The sequence below is a fragment of the Homo sapiens genome, chromosome 3, assembly GCF_000001405.40.
Source record: "Homo sapiens chromosome 3, GRCh38.p14 Primary Assembly".
Classification (NCBI taxonomy): Eukaryota; Metazoa; Chordata; class Mammalia; order Primates; family Hominidae; genus Homo; species Homo sapiens.
The window spans coordinates 121,101,962-121,125,727 of NC_000003.12; the positions used below are offsets into that span (position 1 = coordinate 121,101,962).

Sequence of the window (23,766 nt, forward strand, 5' to 3'; positions counted from 1 at the left end):
ACAATAGTCACAAGCAAAAAATACCTAGGAATACATCTAACCCAAGATATGAAATATCTCTTTAAGGAGAAGCACAAAACACAGCTGAAAGAAATCATAGGTGACACAAAAAAATGGAAAAATATTTCATGCTTATGGATTGGAAGAACAATATTGTTAAAATGGCCATACTTCCCAAAGCAATGTAAAGATTCAATGCTATACTTATCAAACTACCAGAGTCATTCTTTACAGAATTAGAAAAAAACTATTATAAATTCATGTGGAACCAAAATAGAGCCCAAATAGCCAAATCAGTCCTAAGCAAAAAGAACAAAGCCAGACACATTACATTACCTGATTCAAACTATACTACTGTAAGTGTACAGTAACCAAAAGAGCATCATACAGGTATACAAAGAGAGATAGACCAATGGAACAGAATAGAGAACCCAGAAATAAAGCCACACACCTACAGCCATCTGATCTTTGACAAAGTCAACAAAAATAACCAATGGGAAAAGTACTCCCTATTCAATAAATGGTGCTGTGATACTTGGCTACCCATATGCAGAAAAATGAACTAGACCTCTACCATACACAAAAATTAACTCAAGAGGGTTTAAAGCTCTAAATATCAGACCTCAAACTATAAGAATCCTAGAAATCTTGTGAAATATCATTCTGGACATTGGCCTTGGGAAAGAATTTATGACTAGGTCTTCAAAAGCAATTACAGCAAAATCAAAAATTGACAAGTGGGACCTAATTAAACTAAGGAACTTCTGCACAGCAAGATAAACTGTCACCAGAAGAAACAGATATACTACAGAATGGTAGAACATGTTTACAAACTATGCATCAAACAAAGGTCAAATATCCAGGATCTATAAGGTACTTAGATAATTCAACAAGCAAGAAACACATAACCCCATTAAAAATTGGGCAAAAGACCTTAACAGACACTTCTCAAAAGAAGACATACAAGTGTTCAACAAAAATGAAAAAATACCCCACATAACTAATCATCAGAGAAATGCAAATCAAAAACCACAATGAGATATTATCTCCTACCCATCAGAATGGCTATTATTAAAAAGTCTAAAAACCACAAATGCTGGCAAAGCTGTGGAGAAAAAGGAATGTTTGTACACCTTTGGTGGGAATGTTACTAGTTCACCTACTGTGGAAAGCAGTTTGGAGATTTCACAAACAAAACTGAGCTACCATTTGACCCAGAAATCCCATTACTGGGTATATATCCATAGAAAAATAAATTGTTCTACCAAAATGTCACATGTATGTTCATTGCAGCACTATTCACAATATCAAAGACATGGAATCAACCCAGGTGCCCCTTGACAGTGGATTGGAGGAAGAAAATTGGTGCATATACACTACAGAGTATTATGCAGCCATAAAGAAAATGAAGTCATGTTCTTTGCAGCTATTTGGATGCAGCTGGAGGCCATTATCTTAAGAAAATTTACACAGGAACAGAAAACCAAACAACACATGTTCTCAAGTATACATCGGAGCTAAACATTGGATGTACTTGGATAAAAGATGGCAAAAATAGACACTAGAGACTACTAGGGGGCAAGAGTTAATGAATTGACTGTTGGGTACTGTGCTTACCTCAGCATCACTCAATATACCCATGCAGCACACCTATACATGTACCTCCTGAATCTATAATAAAAGTTGAAATTATTTTTAAAAACCACAAAATAAACATATATGAATATATAAAAAGATAAGACAGTATAGAGAATATAAAGCTTAGTACATATGACATAAAATGCTTGCATTACAAATGACTTCTGTTGGTTAAGAGAAAAGTTAGAGAAAATTAGATGATTAGGTGATTATTTTAAGAACAGATAAAGAAAATTAAGTAACAGTCTTCAAAACAAAGTTCTTAGTGTTTTGCCACTTAAGTTTTAGTGAAGAAATATGTTTGGGTATTTACTGCAGACAGGGTATTACGTAAGTGAACGAAAATAATAAATATTTATCATTCAGTTCTGTCAAATTATTTTTAATTATGAATTTCTGAAGGACTATGAGTGTGTCAGATGATATGTGTCTGTAGCATCTACATGCTGGTACATAGTATCTGTGAAGTGTTTATTACAATAGTAAATCTTCTATATGTCAATCATCATATGAATTTATGACTGCTCATGAAATCTTTTGACCATATATTTTTCTTGCCTGATCCAGGCAAGATAATAAAAATGTTATAATTTTAACTTATATGGTAGGTAACAAATAATATCCTGACAAAAGAATCAAGAAATAATAGAATACAAACAAGTAGAAACACATCTCATGCTCATGGATGGGTAGAATCAATATTGTGAAAATGACCACACTGCCAAAAATAATCTACAGATTCAATGCAATTCCCATTAAAATACCATCATCATTCTTCACAGAACTAGAAAAAACAATCCTAAAATTAATGTGAAACCAAAAAAGAGCCTGCATAACCAAAGCAAGACTAAGCAAAAAGAACAAATCTGGAGGCATCACATGACCCGACTTCAAACTATACTACAAAACTATAGTTAACAAAACAGCATTGTACTGATATAAAAATAGGCATGTAGGGAAATGGAACTAAATAGGGAACCCAAAAATAAAGCCAAACACTTACAGCCAACTGATCTTTGACAAACCAAACAAAAACATAAAGTGGGAAAGAACACCCAATTCAACAAGTGGTGCTGGTATAATTGACAAGTCACATATAGAGAATGAAAGTGGATCCTCATCTCTCACCTTATACAAAAATCAACTCAAGATGGATCAAAGACTTAAATCTAACACCTGAAACCACAAAAATCCTAGAAGATATCATTGGAAAAACTCTTCTAGACATTGGTGTAGGCAAAGAGCTCATGACCAAGATGCGACAAAAAGAAAGATAAATAGATGGGACTTAGTTAAACTAAAAAGCTTCTGCACAGCAAAAGAAAAAATCAGCAGAGTAAACAGGCAACCCACAGAGTGGGAGAAAATCTTGGCAACCTATGCATCTGACAACGGACTATATCCAGAATTTACAATAAACTCAAACAAATCAGCAAGAAAAAAAATAAAAACAAATAATCCCATCAAAAAGTGGGCTAAGGACATGAATAGACAGTTCTCAAAAGATGTACAAGTGGACTGGGCACAGTGGCTCATGCCTATAATCACAGCACTTTAGGAAGCCGAGGTGGGTGTATCACGAGGTCAAGAGATGGAGACCATCCTGGCCAACATGGTGAAAGCCCATCTCTACTAAAAATACAAAAATTAGCTGGGTGTGGTGGCGTGCTCCTGTAGTTCCAGCTACTTGGGAGGCTGAGGCAGGAGAATCGCTTGAACCTGGGAGGCAGAGGTTGCAGTGAGCCGAGATCACGCCGCTGCACTCCAGCCTGGCAACAGAGTGAGACTCTGTCTCAAAATAAATAAATAAATAAATAAATAAAAAGATGTACAAGTGGCCAAGAAACATGAAAAAATGATCAACATCACTAATTATCAGGGAAATGCAAATCAAAACCACAATGTGATGCCACCTTACTCCTGCAATAATGGCCACAATTAAAAAATAAAAAGAATAGGCGTTGGCGTGGATGTGGTGAAAAGGAAACACTTCTACACTGTTGGTGGGAATGTAAACTACTACAACCACTCTGGTAAACAGTATGGAGATTCCTTAAATAACTTTTGATTTAAAAAAAAGCTGTTAGAATAGATAAATATAGTGAAAAGGTACAAACTAAGTATGGACACATGAAACTCAATAGAACCTGTGCAGTTAGAACCATATTCATATTTTGAGGTTATTTTATTTCTGTAAAAAAAATTCAACGTCACATTAATTAATATTGATTTAAATTCTGGTTGTAGTTTTTTGTAATTAATTTGGAATTTTTGTTTTATGTGTGTAAAGAGCCATAAGTGTGAAAAATTTATATTTTATTTTGTTTTTATACCTAAGTAAAATTTCTAAGAGTAAGTCAAAAGTAAAGAATATAAACAAATTCAAAGGTCTGCCCATTTTTCAAAGTGAGAAAAATTTATTTATTTTGTGTTTTGATCATTAATGGCCCAATTGAAACACAACTCTCTACATTAGCTTTTCTTGATTTTTCTTACTGTAATTAATCTCTTCCTTCTTTGGAGTCTATAGAAATTATTACATTTTAGTTTTATTTTTCTTACTTGTCTGCTTGTTTTGTCTCTCCTGTTAGATAGTATGATTTGAAGAAAAACGGATGTGTGTGTATAATCTGGGACAATACATTTTTAAAAATTTAATTTAAAGTTCTGGGATACATGTGAAGGACATCCAGGTTTGTTAACATATGTAAACATGTGTCATGGTGGTTTGCTGCACCTAACAAACCCATCACATCGGTATTGAGCCCTACATGCATTAGCTATTTATTATGACACTTTCCCTCCCTCCCAACCTCCGCCAACAGGCCCCAGTGTGTGTTGTTCCCCATGTATTCTCATTGTTCAGCTCCTACTTAATAAGTGAGAACATGCGGTGTTTGGTTTTCTGTTCCTGTGTTAGTTTGCTGAGGATAATGGCTTTGAGCTCCATCCTTGTCCCTGCAAAGATCATGATCTCATTCTTTTTTGGCTGCATAGTATTCCATGGTGTATATGTATCATATTTTCTTTATCCAGACTATCATTGATGGGCATTTGGGTTGATTCCATGTCTTTGGTATAATGAATAGTGCTGTAATGAACATATGCATGTATATATCTTCATGATAGAATGATTTATATTCCTCTGGGTATATACCCAGTAATGGGATTGCTGGGTCAAATAGTATTTCTGGTTGTAGGTCTTTGAGGAATTGTCACACTGTCTTCCACAATGGTTGAACTAATTTACATTCCCACCAACAGTATAAAAGCATTCTTATTTCTCCACAGCCTCGCCAGCATCTGTTGTTTCTTGACTTTTTAATGATCACCATTCTGACTGAAGTGAGATGGTATTACATTGTGGTTTTGATTTGCATTTCTGTAATGATCAGTGATATTGAACTTTTTTTCATGTTTTTTGGACGCATGGATGTTATCTTTGGAGAAGTTTCTGTTCATGTCTTTGCCCACTTTTTAATGGATTCTTTGTTTTTTTTTTCTTGTAAATTTGTTTAAATTCCTTGTAGATTCTGGATGTTAGACCTTTGTCAGATGGATAGATTGCAAAAATTTTCTCCCATTAGTTTCTTTTGCTGGGCAGAAGCTCTTTAGCTTAATTAGATCCCGTTTGTTAATTTTTGCTTTTGTTGCAATTGCTTTTGATGTTTTCATCATGAAATCTTTGCCCGTGCCTATGTCCTGAATGGTATTGCCTAGATTTTCTTCCAGAGTTTTTATAGTTTGGGGTTTTACATTTAAGTCTTTAATCCATCTTGAGTTAATTTTTTTATAAGTTTTAAGGAAGGGATCCAGTTTCAATTTTCTGAATGTGGCTTGCCAGTTCTCCCAGTGCCATATATTAAATAGGGAATCCTTTCCCCATTGCTTCTTTTTGTCAGGTTTGTCAAAGTTCAGATGGTTGTAGATGTGTGGTCTTATTTCTGAGATCTATATTCTGTTCCATTGGTGTGTCTGTTTTGGTACCAGTACCGTGCTGTTTTGGTTACTATAGCCTTGTGGTATAGCTTGAAGTTGGGTATCATGGTGCCTGCAGCTTTCTTCTTTTTGCTTAGAATTTTCTTGGTTATATGGGCTCTTTTTTGGCTCCATATGAATTTTAAAGTAGTTTTTTCTAATTCTGTGAAGAATGTTAGTGGTATTTTAATGGAAATAGCATTGAATCTTTAAATTACTTTAGGCAGTATGGCCATTTTCACAATATTGATGCTTCCTGCCCATGGGCATGGAATGTTTTTTCCATTTGCTTATGTCCTCTCTGATTTCCTTGAGCAGTGGTTTGTAGTTCTCCTTGAAGAGCTCCTTGACATCCATTGTTAGCTGTATTCCTAGTTATTTTATTCTCTTTGTAGCAATTGTGAATGGGAGTTCATTCATGATTTGGCTCTCTGCTTGTCTGTTGTTGGTATATAGGAATGGTTGTGATTTTGCACATTGATTTTGTATGCTGAGACTTTGCTGAAGTTGCTTATCAGCTTAAGAAGCTTTTAGGCTGAAGCGATAGGATTTTCTATATGTACGATTATGTTATCTACAAACAGAGACAGTTTGACTTCCTCTCTTCCTATTTCAATACGCTTTATTTCTTTCTCTTGCCTGACTTCCCTGGCCAGAACTCCCAATACTATGTTGAATAGGAGTGGTGAGAGAGGGCATCCTTGTCTTGTGCTGGTTTTCAAGGGAAATGCTTCCAGCTTTTGCTCATTCAGTATGATATTGGCTGTGGGTTTGTTCTAAATGGCTCTTATTATTTTGAGTTATGTTCCATCAATACCCAGTTTATTGAGAGTTTTTAACATGAAGAGATGTTGAATTTTATAAAAGGCCTTTTCTACATCTATTAAGATAATCCTGTGGTTTTTTGTCTTTAGTTTTGTTTACATGATGAATTACATTTATTGATTTGAATATGTTGTTACCAGCCTTGCATCCCGGGGATGAAGCCAGCTTGATCGTGGTAGATAAACTTTTTGATGTGCTGTTGGACTTGGTTTGCCAGTATTTTATTGAGGGTTTTTGCATTGATGTTCATCAGGATATTGGCCTGAAGTTTCTTTTTTAGTTGTATCTCTGCCAGGTTTTGGTATCAGGATGATGCTGGCCTCATAAAATGATTGATGCACTAGTCCTTCCTTTTAATTTGTTTGAAGTAGTTTCAGAATAAATGGTACCAGCTCCGCTTTGTACCTCTGGTAGAATTCAGCTATAAATCAGTCTGGTCCTGGGCTTTTTTTGGTTGGTAGGCTATTTACTACTGCCTCAGTTTCAGAACTCATTATTTGTCTATTCAGGGGTTTAACTTCTTCCTGGTTCAGTCTTGGGAGGCTGTATGTGTTCAGGAATTTATCCATTTCCTCTGGATTTTCTAATTTATTTGCATAGTATGCAAATAAATTAGTGCAAATAAACTAATTTATTTGTTTATAGTATTCTCTGATAGTTGTTTGCATTTCTGTGGGGTCAGTGGTGATATCCCCTTTATCATTTTTTATTGTATCAATTTGATTCTTCCGTCTTTATTAGTCTAGGTAGCGGTCTATTTCATTATTCTTTCAAAAAACCAGCTCCTGGATTTGTTGACTTTTTTGAAGGGTTTTTCATGTCTCTATCGCCTTCAGTTCTGCTCTGATCTTGGTTATTTCTTGTTTTCTGCTATCTTTGGGGTTTGTTTGCTCTTGGTTCTCTAGTCGTGATATTATGGTGCCGATTTGAGATCTTTCTAGCTTTTCGATGTGGGCATTTAGTTCTATAAATTTCCCTCTTAACACTGCTTTTTCTGTGTCCCAGAGATTCTAGTGTATTGTTTATTTGTTCTCATTGGTTTCACAGAACTTCTTGATTTCTGCCTTAATTTCATTACCCAGGAGTCATTCAGGAGCATGTCGTTGCATTTCCAGTTAGTTGTATGGGTTTGACTGTGTTTCTTAATCTTGAGTTCTAATTTGATTGCTCTATGGTCTGAGAGACTGTTATGATTTTAGTTCTTTTGTATTTGCTGAGGAACGTTTTACTTCCAATTAAATGATTGATTTTAGAGTAAGTCCCATGTGGTGCTGAAAATAATGTATATTCTGCTGTTTTTGGATAGAGAGTTCTGTAGATACCCAGACCAACTTAAGCCAGAGCTGAGTTTGAGTCCTGAAGATTCTTATCAACTTTCTGTGTCAATGATCTAATATTGACAGTGAAATATTAAAGTTTCCTATTATTATTGTGGGAGTCTAAATCTTTTTGTAGGTTTCTAAGAACTTGTTTTATAAATTTCGTTGCTCTTGAAGTGAGGCATAGAAATTTAGGATAGTTAGCTCTTCTTGTTGAATTGAACTTTTTACCATTATGTAATGCCCTTCTTTGTCTTTTTTGATCTTTGTTGGTTTAAAGTCTGTCTTGTCAGAAACTAGGATTGCAACCCCTGCTTTTTTCTGCTTTTTATTTGCTGGTAGATTTTCCCTCATCCTTTTATTTTGAGCCTATGTGTGTCCCTGCATGTGAGAAGGGTCGCTTGAATATAGCACACCAATGGGTCTTGACTCTTTACCAGCTTGCCATTCTGTGTCTTTTAATTGGGGCATTTAGCTCATTTACATTTAAGGTTAATATTGTTATGTGTGAATTTGATCCAGTCATCATGATGCCAACTGGTTATTTTGCAGACTTGTTGATGTAGTTGCCTTATAGAGTCATTGGTCTTTGTACTTCAGTGTGGTTTTGTAGTAGCTGGTAACAGTTTTTTGTTTGTTTGTTTGCTTGTTTGTTTTCATATTTAGTGCTTCCTTTGGGAGCTCTTGCAAGATGGGCCTGGTGGTGACAAATTCTCTCAGCATTTGCTTGTCTGAAAAGGATTTTATTTCTCCTTCACTTATGAAGCTTCATTTGGCCATATATGAAATTCTGGGTTGAGTATTCTTTGCTTTAAAATTGTTAAATATTGGCCCCTGATCTTTTTTGGCTTGTAGGGTTTCTGCTGAGAGGTCTGCTGTTAGTCTGATGGACTTGCCTTTGTAGGTTACCTGGCCTTTCTCTCTGGCTGCCCTTAATATTTTGTCTTTCATTTCGACCTTACAGAATCTGATATTATGTGCCTTGGGGGTTGATCTTCTTATGGAATATCTTACTGGGGTTCTCTGGATTTCCTGAATTTGAATGTGGGCCTCTCTTGCTAGGTTAGGGAAGTTCTTGTGGATGATATCTTGAAGTACGTTTTCCAACTTGGCCCTGTTCTCCCTGTCTCTTTCAGGTACTTCAACCAGTCAGAAGTTTGGTCTTTTTACATAACCCCATAGGTCCTGGAGGTTTTATTCATTCCTTTTCATTCCTTTTTCTTTTTTTTCCTAATCTTATCTGCCTGTCTTGTTTCATCAAGATAGTCTTCAAGCTCTGAAATTCTTTCCTCCGCTTGGTCTATTCGGCTATCAATAATTGTGGGTGCATTGTGAAGTTCTCATGTTGTGTTTTTCAGCTCCATCAGGTCATTTATGTTCCTCTCTAAACTGGTTATTCTGGTTAACAGCTCCTGTAATGTTTTATCATGGTTATTAGCTTCTTTGCATTGGGTTAGAACATGCTCCTTTAGCTCAGTGAAGTTCATTATTACCCACCTTCTGAAGCCTACTTCTGTCAATTCATTCATTTCAGCCCTGCCCAGTTCTGTGCCCTTGCCAGAGAGGTGTTGCAATAATTTGGAGGAGGAGAAGCACTCTGCTTTTTGAGTGTTCAGTGTTTTTTCATTGATTCTTTCTCATCTTTATGAGTTTATCTAGCTTTGGTCTTCGAGGCTGCTGACCTTTGGATGGGGTTTTTGAGGGGACTTTTTTGTTAATGTTGTTGCTGCTTTCTATTTGTTATTCTTTTAACGGTCAGGCCCCTCTTCTGGTTTGTTGGGGGTCCACTCCAGACCCTATTTGCCTGGGTCCCTCCCACACCTGAAGGTGTCACCAGTGGAGGCTGCAGAACAGCAAGGATGACTGCCTGCTACTTTCTCTGGGAGCTCCATCCCAGAGGGGCACCAACCTTATTCCAGCAGGAATGGTCCTAAATAAGGTGTCTGGTGACCCTTGTTGGGGGGTTTCACCCAGTCAAGAGGCATGGGATCAGGAATCCACTTAACGAAGCACTCTGGCTGGGCTTTGGCAGAGGGGGTGCACTGTGGTGGGAGGAATCCCACTCATCTGCACTTCCCAGGTTCTGCAGAGCCATCGGGGGAAAGACTAAGTCCACTGATCCATGGAGAGAGACCATGGCTGCCCCTCCTGCAAGGGGCTCTATCCCAGGGAGATCAGAGTTCTGTCTGTAAATCCCTAGCTGGAGTTTCTGAAATTCCTGCAGAGAGGCCCCCATCCAGTGAGGAGGAATGGGTCAGGGTCCAGCTTAAAGAGGCAGTATGGCCATGATCCACCACAGCCGCTGTGCTACACTGTGGAGAATTCCTCCTGAGTCCAAACCGCTCAGTCTCCCTCGCACCAGCAGGGAAAAAGTGGCAGAATGGAGCTGCATTTATGGCTGCCACCCCTCCCCCCAGGACTCAGTCATCTTAGGCAACAGGCAGCTGCAATGATGGCAGCTGCCCCTCCCCTCAGGAACTTGGTAATCTTAGTCTCTAGCTGAGCGACCGCCAAGAATCTGCACAGCTCTGTTCTTGGGACCCAAGGCCCTGGTCACATAGGCTCACAAAGGGGATCTTCTGATTTGCAGGTTGCACAGATTCGTGGAAAAAGCATGGTTTTCCTGGTGGTAGGTAGCACACTCACCACCTTGCTTGGCTGGGAGTGGGAGTTCCCCTTGTTACTTGCAGCTCCCAGGTGGGCCGTTGCTCCACTCTGCTTTTGCTGGCTCTCTGTGGGTTGTGCCAACTGCCTATTCAGTCCCAATGAGAGAATTTGGATACCTCAGTTGCCGGTGCGGGATTCACTTGCAGTTTTCGTTCTTCTCTCGCCGTTTTCATTCTTCTCGGTGGGAGCCTTCGACCGCAGCTATTTCCAGTCAATCATCTTGGTCCCTCCCGGCAACAATACTTTTTTTATAAAGAGTTATTCGGTGAAGATTGAATAAATGGATGAATGGATGGAAAGCTAAGGATATCTTCGATTATTTAATGATAGTTAATATTGATATAGGAATAAGATTATTTTTCCAAGGCTTACATGCAGTAGAAAAAATCCTTCATCTATCAGGTAGTGGTGGTAGAAATAAGTTACAAATGAAAGTGTAATTATAAAATACAATAAATTAAGTTGTATAAAGGTATTGACTAATCATATATTAGAGCTAGCAAATATACAGCAGAAGTGTTAGTATATCTTTTCCTTTATCTATGGCAATCATTCTAAGTAATCCTGTTACTCTTTTTGGGGGGGTTCAGTTAAAACCTGAAAATCTTTATCTAGTTGTTGTAACCACTACTCATCAGTTGGACATTGAATATAAGGTGAAACCTGTCTGATATAAAGGCTCTAGTTTCTATTTAATAAGGATGAGGAAAAAAGTAGTTACTAGTTCAAGGAATAGTTCTAGTTCTGTCTCATTACTGAAACCTGGTAGTTCTTACACTTTTCTTCTTAACCCTGGAAGTGACTATGTAATATTGAGGTTTGCTTTTTTTCTACTTGAACCCCTATATTTATGTCTTCTTTAATGGGATTAGTGTTTTTTCCACTGTCCCTGTAATTCAGAAAGGATGATCTTAGTCCTCTTTAAAGTAAGTTTCCTCTTTCTACCTAAGATTGAATTGAAAATTGATTCTTCATTGCCTTGAAACATGACCATCAAGTTATTTCCTGTGCAACATTATTAAATATCTCTTGGCAACAGCAATTCTAGATTTTAGGTTTTAATCAAAATTTTCCAACATCATATAGGCTACACAATTACTATTGTCAATAGTAATTGCTTATGTAATAGCAGAGCTTTTAATTTTTTGAATGTAGTGTGCAGGGTACTTTGAATAATATATGAAGTTTGGTTCAAAGAAACAGACTGTTGAAAACTTCAGTGAACCAGACTGAGAATATAAATTGGACACACTGGATGTTCACTTTTATTCTTTTTTCTTTTTCTTTTTTTTTTTTTTTTTTGTGACACAGAGTCTTGCTCTGTCACCAGGCTGGAGTGCAGTGGCACAGTCTCGGCTCATGGTAACCCTATCTCCTGGGTTCAAGTGATTCTCCTGCCTCAGCCTCCCAAGTAGGTGGGACTATGGGCACCCACCACCACGCCCGGCTAATTTTTTGTATTTTTAGTAGAGTCGGGGTTTCACCATGTTGGCCAGGATGGTCTTGATCTCTTGACCTCATGATCCACCTGCCTCGGCCTCTCAAAGTGCTTGGATTACAGGCATGAGCCACCGCGCCTGGCCTTTTTATTCTTATATAAAGAAGTACAAGACAATATCATATTGGAAATATGTCATTCACATTTTTTTTGAAAAATTTATTGGTCTGTCTGACAAGAGATAACTATGAACTTATCCTCCTTCTCTTTTGTGGAGTAACTAAAAAGCATGATTAGGCCAAACTAGAAGGAGTGATAATGTTGTGAATAGAGGACTCTGGTAAATTCCCATATTTAATATGTAGGAGTCATGATTGCTCTGGCTATGGAACAGGTCCTAGAGCTAGTCAGAGAGCCCATTGTGAAGATGAAAACAGAACAATAAAATGAAGGGAAAAATACAGTGAAGCTCTGACTTTATAAGTTTTCTTTTTACTGCTTATATGTCAAACATCTGAATAAAAACTAAATAATTTATCATCTCATGTAGACATAGCTACCACTTCTCTGTGAACTCTGAAATTTATGTTTTGAAGCAAATATGACCTTTATGTATTTGAAGTAAATATTAAGTTTACGAAATATAATATGAAATTCATGTATTTGAAGCAAATATGATCTTAAAAATAGAAAAAAATGTAGCTTAGTGAAAGATGTTAATTTTGTAACCAAACAGGAAAGGATTAGAATCCCGGTTTTGCTGCTTATTAGCGGTCTTAGGCAAGTAAACAAAAAAATTCAGCCACAGTTTCATTTTTGTAAAACAGAAATACATATCTGTCTTGCTGTTTTCAGAATTAGAAATAATGTAAATTAATGCCCATATAGGCACTTATTAATAGTGCTTATTAACATTATTGTTTTTAACGCTATAATATTATTTATCCTATACTCTCAATGAATAACTACATGCTATACTTGAGTATATAGTACATTTTATTATTTATATAGCTATCACTACATAATACATGTAAGGAAAATATAATGCTGACCAAATGTAAAATTTAGATATTTTAATTATAATTTTCTTTCTTTCAGAATTACTTACTGTCATCTACCTTTCCAGAGTAAATGGCTTTATGTTGGAACAGAAAGAGGAAATACACATATTGTAAATATTGAATCTTTCATTCTTTCTGGATATGTTATCATGTGGAACAAGGCAATTGAACTGTAAGTTTGAACTTGGATATCACTTTATTGGCTTAAATACTTCATACAGTTATGTAACATGTAGGTCAAATTACAGTTATTTGATACGTCTATTACTAATTTATAATGAATTTGAGTGAAAAGTTCAGTAAAATAACTTAAAGCCATAAAAGCTTTTAAAAATAGATATTACAATATTTTAGGCTTTCCAAATACCATAAATAATTAAGCTTTATATCTAAAAATGTGATGACAAAATAGTAAGGCTTATTCTAAAAGTTATACATGGAAATCTCACTTCATTATAATCAAGCTTAGTATAGCAACTTTCAGTGAGAATGAATTGTGTTATGTAAAAATAATCATGATCACTGCATATGATTTTAATGCTTGTAGCTTGTTCTTTTCTTGCCTCATTAAAATATTGTTCAGGGCTCAAATATCTTTTAGGTTACGTTATACATAGGTTTTTTGGGTGTATGATTGATGGCAATTACCACTTTGGCTTTGGCACTGATATTTAAGTTTCTGTACATGTGAAATGTGAAATTCTCCAAATATCAAACTCTGTGGAATTTCAAGCCATCTGTATTCAGCCATTTTGCATTGCTATAAAGGAATCCCTGAGACAAGGTAATTTATATAGAAAAGAGGTTTAATTGGCTTATGGTTCTACAGGCTTTACAGGAAGCATGGTGCTGGCATCTGCTTAGCTTCCAGGGAGGCCTCAGGAAGCTTACAATCATGGTAGAAGTTAGGAGCAGGCATGTCATATAATGAAAGCAGGAGCAAGAGGAGGAGTTAGGGGGAGGTGCCACACACTTTCAAACAACAAGATCTCACGAGAATTCATTCACTACTGCAAGAACTCACTTACTATGGCAAGAACTCACTATTACAAGAAGAGCCCTAAGGGGATGGTGCTAAACCATTCAAGAGAAATCCACTTCCCATGATCCAAATACCTCCCACTAGGCCCCACCTTGAACATTTAGGGATTACAATTCAACATGAGCTTTGGGCAGGGACAAATATCCAAACTATATCACCATCTATTTGTAGTACATACGTAAGCAATTCTTCTAGTAAAATTATTAATCAGAAAAACAACTTTTATTTAACACGTTTATGCTCTCTACATATTAGGTCCTTGATAAGATGTTTGACTTGAAGTTGACTCATTTTCTGCCTCATATATAGTCTAAGTTACAAAATTATTCTGCAAAATTCTGATTAAAACACCCTATTTTTGTGAAGCTTGACGCTGGAAATAAATATTTTACCTAATCTTAATGTTTCAATATGCATGTATATTGCTTCATAAGGAAGGTTGTTACTAGTTATACTCTTGTCATGATACTCCTTTTGTATTATGTCTGAATGGGTCTTTTATTAATGATAATTCTTTCTCCCTCATTAGATTAGGAACTGCTCCAGAGCAGGATTTTTGTTTATTGTTCTTTTCTTGTTCTTCATACTTGGCTTATTTCTGTGCTTTCCAAAGTAAATACTAAATGATTGATGACATTATTGAAGCATTAGTATGATAAATTGTTACATATACACTGCTATTGACTTACAACTTTCATTTATGTTTTCAAGATAATTGGTGTGAGCTATTTTGCTCATTTTGTTGTTCTGTGTGAATATTTCTAAAAACATTAATCCTATAAATAATTATGTTTCCCCCCAAAGTTACTTTATTAGGTATTTGGGAGGGTCCTTTTCCCCTGTAATCCTAGTCCTATAAAAGCAATAAAAGGGCTGAATTTTAATAGTTTTACATAATATTGTTTCAGGATATTGATAAAAACATACAGGCTTAGATGAACAAGAGAAGATTCAGTTATAAAACTTTTAAATAAATTCAATATTAGTGAAAATATATAGATGCATCACTTGTGTTCAGGTTGAATGCTGCTAAAGTAATTGAGAAGAATTTGTTATCTTAAGCAAATTAAACATTTCACCACTCTTGCAATGCTGTTCTTATATTCATTTATGTAACAAATCCTTTTCATGGTTCAGATTACTACGTGAACTAGTGACTTATACTTTATTTTAATGTGTTTATATAGTCTATACAATTTCAAGACTAATGAAGAGTTTTTAAAATGTATATTATAAGGGAGGCTAAAATCAGGAGAAATTAAAGAGCTAAAATAAGGCATTTTTATTTTTCATAATATACACATGATTCAGCATTAGAATAGCATCTACTATTTTATATATAAACCTGTGTTTTATCGAGTTGTACATGCCTCTGAAAATGTTCTTGAAATATCTCTGAGAAATTATTAGTAAACCACATACCATCACTTCCTGAATGTCTCTTGATTCATTTAGACCGGATTTCCAAAAATATGTTCCATAGAATTCTAATTCCACTGTGACAGATAACATTTTAAATGCCAATTTCCAATCTCCTGGAACTGTCTTTTCATTGCTCTCTACCTCTTGAGATACATTAGAAAATGTATGTAACTTCCTGTTAATATGTGTCAAGTGTATGGGACAGTAATAAAATATGCATTTAATTAAGAAGACTCATTTAATAAATATAATTTTAGTCCATGAATTTTAATAATATATTTTCTAAGTAGGACAAATGCAAGAATTATCTAAAAAAATATGAGATTGTTTCTATTTTAAGTCCTTATTGAAATACTTTTCATTTAATGTTTATTTTTCAGCTTGTTTCTATTTTTAGTGAATTATTCTAATTGCAATTAGAGGCAATTCCCAAGAGTATGAATAGTTGGGTTTCCAAAATGTATATATTGGTTATTTGGAACCTGGGACAAATTTTTCATTTAAACAGTGATATTTGAAGAATACCTTATAAAATAACAGCATAGAACTAAACTATCATTAAAAAATATTTATATGGGAAAATATATACCAGGTGATAGCATAGAAACAGCTATTTCTGTAGGGCAGCCCTAACATTTTAAAAAAATGTAAGCTTTTTTTCCACATATGATTAAAATTTGAGCATGAAATTTATAATCAAATCATAAAAGTGTAAGACTCATGTTTAACATCATTCAAGCATGTTTACTGAGCTCTATTATATGATAGATACTAGAAACAACTATGAACAGAGAAGACATAATCTCTGTCCTCCTGGGACTTCCAGTTTAATGGAGGCAAAGTTAAATAAAAAGGCAATTACAATATACTGGTAATATAATATGGCAATTCCATAAGAAGGACATCTATTATAATATAGACATGGGATCTCAAAGTGGTATCTGTGAAGATTGTTACATCTATGCTGAGATCCAAGGGGTGAGTTTCAGTTAGATGAGTAAAATACCAGGGACAAGAACATTCCGGGCAGAGGGAACAGAATATTTAAAGGATGGAATATAAGATAATTTTCTGCTCTGTGCCCAGAAATTTTAAGTACTGCAGTTTATAGTTTGTTGGAATGGCTGGTGGATAGGATAGCAAGGGATAAAGCTGGAAGGTAATCAGGTTTTATAACATGAAAGGTCTTGTAAGCCAATTTGATAAGTTCAGACTTTAAAGACTAATAGGGAGCTAGATTTTGACGGTTGCAAGCAGATCTCAATCAAATCTATATTTTAGGAGTACTACCCTGAATGCAGGTATGGAGAAATAATTGGAGAGAAAGAAAGACTGTGTTCTTGGTAAAAATTATGTTGGTGTTGTAGGAGTGGAGATAAACCAACATATTAAAGAAATATTTAAAAGAAGGAATAATAATAGGGAAAAATTAAAGATGACTTCCCAGTGTTTGCCTTGAGCAATGGTGTACAATGGTGCCATTTAGTGAAAGTGCAAGAGGTTGAGTAGGTTGAGAGTAAAATAATAAGTTCAATTTTAGCTCCATTGAATTGTATGTGTTTATAAGACTTTCAAGTGGAGTTGGTATAGAAGAATAGCAAGAGGTGGGATATATATGGATCTGAAGGTAATGAGAGAGATCAGAATTTACTGGGTTGTTAAAACCAGATGAACAGATGAAATTGTGCATAAAGAGTATGTAGAGAAAAGTTAGCAAACTAATAGCCATTGAACTAATTATGACTCATAGATATATTTTGTTTGGCCATCAGAGCATTTAAATATGCTCTGAATTATGACTTTCTATTATTTAAAAATTGGTAGAATGAAGATAAAAATTTGGACTTTTTGGTGAAACAGTCCTAGTCTAACATTCCTGTATGGCAATAATCAACTGCAAATGAGTAGTAACTTTCCTTATGTAGGTGGGTAATGTGCTATCCAGGTTGGTACAGTTCTTATTCAGCCTATTTAACTCATTTGCAATACCTGCCTGATTCCTGTAGGGTTTTGAATTTGTGGTCATATATTATATGGGAATACATGGCAGTCTAGGACAGGATACCATAGAATATCAATATTTAAGATATGGGAAGATAATGAAAAGCCCATAATGGAAACTAATATTAAGAAGGCTACTTTAGTGAATGGGAGAAAGAGAACTAAATAGGGATACCGAGAAGAATTACTGCACATTTTTTTAGGTGGCTAGTACATGAAAATAATTCATTGATAATTCTATCTAAAGAATTTTTTTTGTAATTTTCAGAATCCAAAGTCCACAGATGCTTTTTTATTTTTAGGTCAATTTCTCATGACCATAAGTTTTTCCAGGAGTGCTTTGTGGTTTTGGAAGTTTAATGTTAGGGAACAAGCCAGAAGAAATACCCCAAAATGTTAATAGGCATTATCTCTATGCAGTGAAATAATGTGAACCCTTTTTCCTCTTCACTTTTGATGTGTTCTATGTTTGTTTAAGATAGTAAATAATGTTTCTTCTAGAGTCTGAAAAAGCAACTACAAATAACGGAAGTTTAATGTTAGATTATTTTCAGAAGTAGAATATTCTATAGTTTAAGGATCTAAACACAAGAGTCTTGCATGTGATCCGAGTAGTGTTTCCCAAAACAAATTTCTGTGATTTCATTAATATGATCAATGAAAAAGGATTCAATGGACTAATAATTTTGTAAAGTACTGAAGATTTACAATGCTTATTTGCATAGTACAGGCTCTAAGAAATTCTGTAGGGGAAATAATATTTAACTTTAATTCAGGGTTTCCCAAAGTTTTAAAATATAGAACAACTAACTTATCGTAAAGTACACTTTGGTAAGTGTTAGTGCAATCAAACCAAGAGACGGAGAGGCTATGGTTTGTTGGCAATTATGAATTCCTGGAGGATAATTTAAAGACATTAAACCTTATCAGAGGCATTTATACCTTTATAGAACACTGAATTTATGTATAAATGATATGTTACATATAAATGTGGAAAAAATTAAAGAAATATCTGTAAACTTTTTATGAAGCCCTGTTTAATTTCTTTTCTTCCTGCATATATTCTAGAATGCAAATAGTAACTCTAATTTCCAATTATCACATCAATCATAATACATACTATTTATTGAATGCACACTATGTTTTGCCATAGTATTAGATGCTGTATGTATCTTCTAATCTGCACAATTATTCAGTAAGGTCAGTCCTAATATTTCCATTTTTAGATGAAAATATTTAAGATGAATCCACTAACAAAATTCATCAATATCCAATGAATCTGTGTTTATTCCCCTTGGTAACTCTGAGGAGTCAGCACCAGGAGATCCTAGAATTAATTTGTCACTTTTCTCTGATTCCAAATAGTTTCTAAGATTTAAATCTTCTTCATTGTTTTGTATAGAATCTTTGATAGTTTTCATGTGTGCTTAAGAAAGAAACTGAAACTGTGTTAATATAATCATAAGAATAATTTGACACTGTTAGGTCGTGGAGAAAGGCTGTGGAAAGTGGAGCAATAATAAAACCCTTGTTATATCAGATCAGATCATATTTAATCATGACATAATCATTTTCAAAGTGATGTAAGTTAAACTAGGAATTATAATAGAAACATGCCAGATATGAGAGTAGAATAAATTTAAAGTCAGATTGATAGAGAGAGCCCAGGTCTTTTAACAATATTCTGTTAGACTCATAATTATCTGTTATTTATTATACTAAATAACCTGATAAGTGTGGTATAACCAATGAACTAGGTTTCACTCCAATTTGTTGTTTTTCTGTAAAAGCGTTATCACTAGAGTAGATTTATTTTTAAATCAAAAGTGCCACTGTACTTTTCTTTAGGGGAAAATAATCAGAGGAGATTTCGTGTAAAAGGAAATCTTAAATCAGGTATGTACTTTGCAATTTAACTGAGACAGTTTTACACCATTACCTTTGTAGCTGTAGTGTTCTTTTATCTATGTAAATAAAAATTCAATTAAAAAAATTCAGAGGCGCTTATCTGACAACAAACGTTTCAAATAATAAAGAACCCCATTGTTATTAGGATCTTTGTGTTTTAACCCGATTTTTAAAGAAAAACATAAATAAGTAGTTTGCAATTAGTAAACAGAAATGCAGTTAGGACTGGTAAAGTAAATAAAAAACTTAAGTGAATCTGAGCTTAACCCTAGAATGGTGGGATTTTATTCCAGTGTAATCTTAATTTCTTTGTTTCAGTCTCTAGTGGTAAGGTATTTTAATGTTTGGTTTTTAATTACTGTTTTGAATTGATTTAACAGATCCACTAAGACTCATCCAGGTCCAGTTGTACATTTAAGCGATAGCCCAAGAGATGAAGGCAAAGTGAGTATTATGATATCTTTATTATTAGTTTTATTTTCCTCATTCTTGAAAAAAGGTGTTTCTTACTATTATTTTATATCTAGTATCTAGCCCAGTTGATAGCATTTTATATTATGTAAAATGAAAATGTGTTGAATCAACGAATGAGTAAATGAATGAATGAATGAATCATGCTACTGATGGTCCCAAATTAAGTCTTTAGCTTTACTGAGAGATAAAATCGGTATTTAATTCTGGCATTTTGAGAACGATAACATGTAGAACAACTTTAATTTTCAAATACTCTATGCTTGAATTTAATAATATGATTATAATTTGCCTTTGTTACTCAGTTTGGTAATGAAAAATGACCAATATTAAATAACATAAATTAGCCAATCTTGATTTCATTAACATGTACTAATATATAAAATGTTATCAGACTACAGAAATAATTCTTATTCACTTTGATTATTTCATAATTTGCCTTTGATGGTGAGGAAACAGTTGAAAACATGAAAATTAGATATTTTTAATATTAATTAATTAATATTAATAAATTATTTAGTATATAGGTTTGGTTCTTTATTTTTAAAGGATAGAAACTGAATTAGCCTATCAAAAATCAAACCTGAAAGGCAAGTCCACCCACCCAAGGAATAAAATTGGATCCCTTCAAATTGATCCACAAGTACAATGTAATTCCAATCAGGTGCCGTCAGAGTTTATTTTTTAAGAATTCAAAAGGTGATTTTAAAATTTATTAAGAAAAGAAAATGTATACGAATAGCCATGACATTTTTGAAAAAGAAATACAGTGTTATATTGGTACAGGGGTACACAAGAGGACCAATGTATCTAAATAGATAAATCCCCAAATAGTTCAGGTATTTGGGAAAATGTTATATATTTTAAAGAAGATGTCTGAGGACATAATTAGCTATTGAATAAATGGTACTGGATAATTGGTTCTTCACTTTGAAAAGAATAGTAAGACCTCTGCCTCATAGATACATAAAGAACCAATGTTTAATAAACATTAAAATTACAACTCAGAAAGTATTCAAAGATGCTTGTAGGATAGGGTTGTTAGTTACTGTGGAGTAGGGACACTCTTGGGCAAAATCTAAAAACTTTAGGGCATATGCTATAACAAGAATCTCATAATAAGAGATAGGCAACAAAGTGGGAGGTAATATTTCCTACATGTCAAAAATAATGAACATGTAAAATATATAAAGAACTTGTACTAAATCCTCATCTTGTAGTAAGAAATCAATATATAATATCTAATGACTAAATCAGAAAATAGCAATATAAACATATTTAGACATATGAAAATAAGCCTACCAAAAAAGATGATTTTAAGAGTTGATGTTGTTGCCTCTTACTTCTAGAGAGAAGGATTTGGCAGTGAGGAGGAAACAGTCTCACTAGTAATTAGGGAAATACAATATACAATTTGTCAACATCATACCGACAAAATGTTAAACACTAAAAATATTAATTTTAAAATATCAGAGAATGGAAAAAGCACTGGGAAATAGCCATCTAAATATATGTATATATACCAGGATGAGCAATTAAGCATTATCAACATTTAAAACATATATTCGTTTTTGGAATTTGTTATGACCTAGAAAATTCATTTCCGATATCTATACTGTTTATGTGACTAATGGTGCAAACTATTAAAATAGTCTAAATGTCTCTTAATAGAATATTGAATAAATGAATGCTGATGTATTCATACTGTGGAATGCTGTGTTGATATGGAAAGTTCTTTAAGACGCATTTTTTAAAAGAAAAGTTGCAGAACAGTAAGGTATAAAACCACTTGAACATTGCCTTTATATTTGTACTTATATATTCAAATGCCTAAGAAAAAAAAAAGCCTGAAAGAATATAGACAAATCTGGGAGAACACTAAAGATTGGAATTGGGGAAAATGGTCAAAGTTATTCTTATTTTATTTGTGTTGTTCAAATTTTTATGAAAGAATATAATGTGGCAATTGTTTAATTACAAATTAAAAGGACTGCAAAATAAATGAATATTGGCATCAGAAAACTATAGGTTTGAGTTGTGGCTCTAGCATTTATTAGCATATAATCTTGAATAAATCACTTTACTTCTTGTATATCAGTTTTTCCATCAATAGTCTTTTGTCACAGAAGTTTTTTTATTTTAATATATGCAGTTTTATCAGTCTTTTCATGTGATTCTTGCTTTTTGTTTCTTATTCAGTAAATATTTCCCTACCAGAGAGAAAATACAATTCTATTTTTTTCTATTGGTTTTAAGACCTTGCATTTCACAATTAGATTTTAATCTTCATGTAATTTATGATGGTTTGATATAGTAGACTTTTATTTGCACATGTAAATAATTCATTTATTGTATAGTGAATCTATTTTTCACTGATTTATACACCTCACTCATATATCAAGTTCCAATATTTGGATTGGTCTCCTAGGCTTAACCTTTTGCTGAATTATTTATCTACTATTGTACTAATGACATACTTTATTAATTATAATAACTTACAAAATGTCTTGATATCTGGTAAGCTGGTCCCTTTTCTTTTTCTGAATTATCTTGGCTATTTCTGACTCATTATTCTAGTATATGAATTTTGGAATCAGCTTATCAAGCTCAATGTGATTCTCAATTGGGATTTTGTTTGAAATTCGAGTGTATAACTTATAGAAAATTTACATGTTAAGATATGGGTGTTCCATCTATAAATATGTTTACTTTGGCTTTCATTTGTTTTGCTATATAACTATAAATTTTTTTATAAAAGTCTTTTATATCTTGTGCTAGCTCAATTCGATAAGTACCTTATAGAATTTATTGCTCTTGTGACTTGTGACTTAATCTTCTTAAAGAAGTTTCATAACTGATTATCTTTAGATTATCAAATATTATTGATTTTTTAATATTTTGTATTCAGTTGCATCATTGAATGTTTTGTTTTTAATAGCTGTCCTTAGATTCTCTGGAATATTCTATTTATAAAAACTGAAAATATAGACAAATTTTCTTCCTTTCCAATATTTATGGTTATATATATCTTTTTTGTTTTATTGACTAGGACCCCAGTGCAGTGTTGAGTAAAAATGGTTTTAGTGGGAACTTTTTTTTGTTTCCAACTTCAAAGGAAATGCCTCCACGATTTCAGCATTAAGTAAAATGGTTGTTGCAGGTCCTTGATTGCTTTTATGAAGTTAAAAACATTCCACCTATTTCCAATATTCTAAGAGTTTAAAATTATGAATAGTGTCAAATTTTATTGAATGCTTTCTACATGTATCAAGATTATTATTTCTTAATTTGTTAATTTGTTGAATTATGTTAATAGATTTTCTAACTTTAAACATATTTGTATTTCTGGGATAAATTCAACTTGGAAGGGGAAAGCTTCCCTTGGAAGCTAATTGGTGAAGTGCAAGAAGGAACAAACTGCTAAAGTTAAGGTTCCTACAAAATCAAGATAATATGGTTGGGCGCAGTGGCTCACACCTGTAATTCCAGCACTTTGGGAGGACGAGGTGGGTGGATCACCTGAGGTCAGGAGTTCAAGACCAGCCTGGCCAACATGGTGGAACCCTGTCTCTACCAAAAACACACAAAAAATTAGCCTTGTGTGGTGGCATGCGCCTGTAGTCCCAGCTACTTGGAAGCTGAAGCAAGAGAATTGCTTGAACCCAGGAGGTGGAGGTTGCAGTGAGCTGACATTATGCCACTGCATTCCAGCCTGGGCAACAGAGCAAGACTCCATCTCAAAAAAAAAATCAAGATAATGTCATAGAATCAGAAAATAGGCCATCTTTCCCCCAATATATCATTTATAAAGAAACTGTGCATTGGTCTATCGAATACAAAAGGGTACTCTTGAGCTGAGAGATGCCTGTATTGATTTGATACAGCATTGAGTGAATCTGCTTGAATTCTCTTAGCTTCTCTTGTCTCCCAAACAAATGCTCTCCCAAACAACGGCTGTTTGCTTCACTTCATGTTTGGCAAAATTAATTGAGCTAT

At 34.1% G+C, this 23,766-nt stretch overlaps 1 protein-coding gene across 15 annotated transcripts in view; it reads left to right on the forward strand.

Moving 5' to 3' along the window:
- The window catches only part of STXBP5L (syntaxin binding protein 5L), a 516,557-nt gene that overhangs the window by 193,757 nt on the left and 299,034 nt on the right, over positions 1-23,766 (forward strand). For 14 of the 15 annotated variants that reach the window (NR_145516.2, XR_924217.3, XR_001740373.2 and 11 more), the window contains exons 6-7: positions 12,964-13,098; positions 19,680-19,743. Coding sequence is in view for 11 of the 15 variants with exons in the window: in NM_014980.3 (NP_055795.1) it covers positions 12,964-13,098; positions 19,680-19,743 (199 nt within the window). In the remaining 4 variants the exon portion in view is untranslated. Of the gene's footprint in view, positions 1-12,963; positions 13,099-19,679; positions 19,744-23,766 lie in introns of those variants that run through there. The other variant, XM_047449249.1, reaches the window with a different exon arrangement.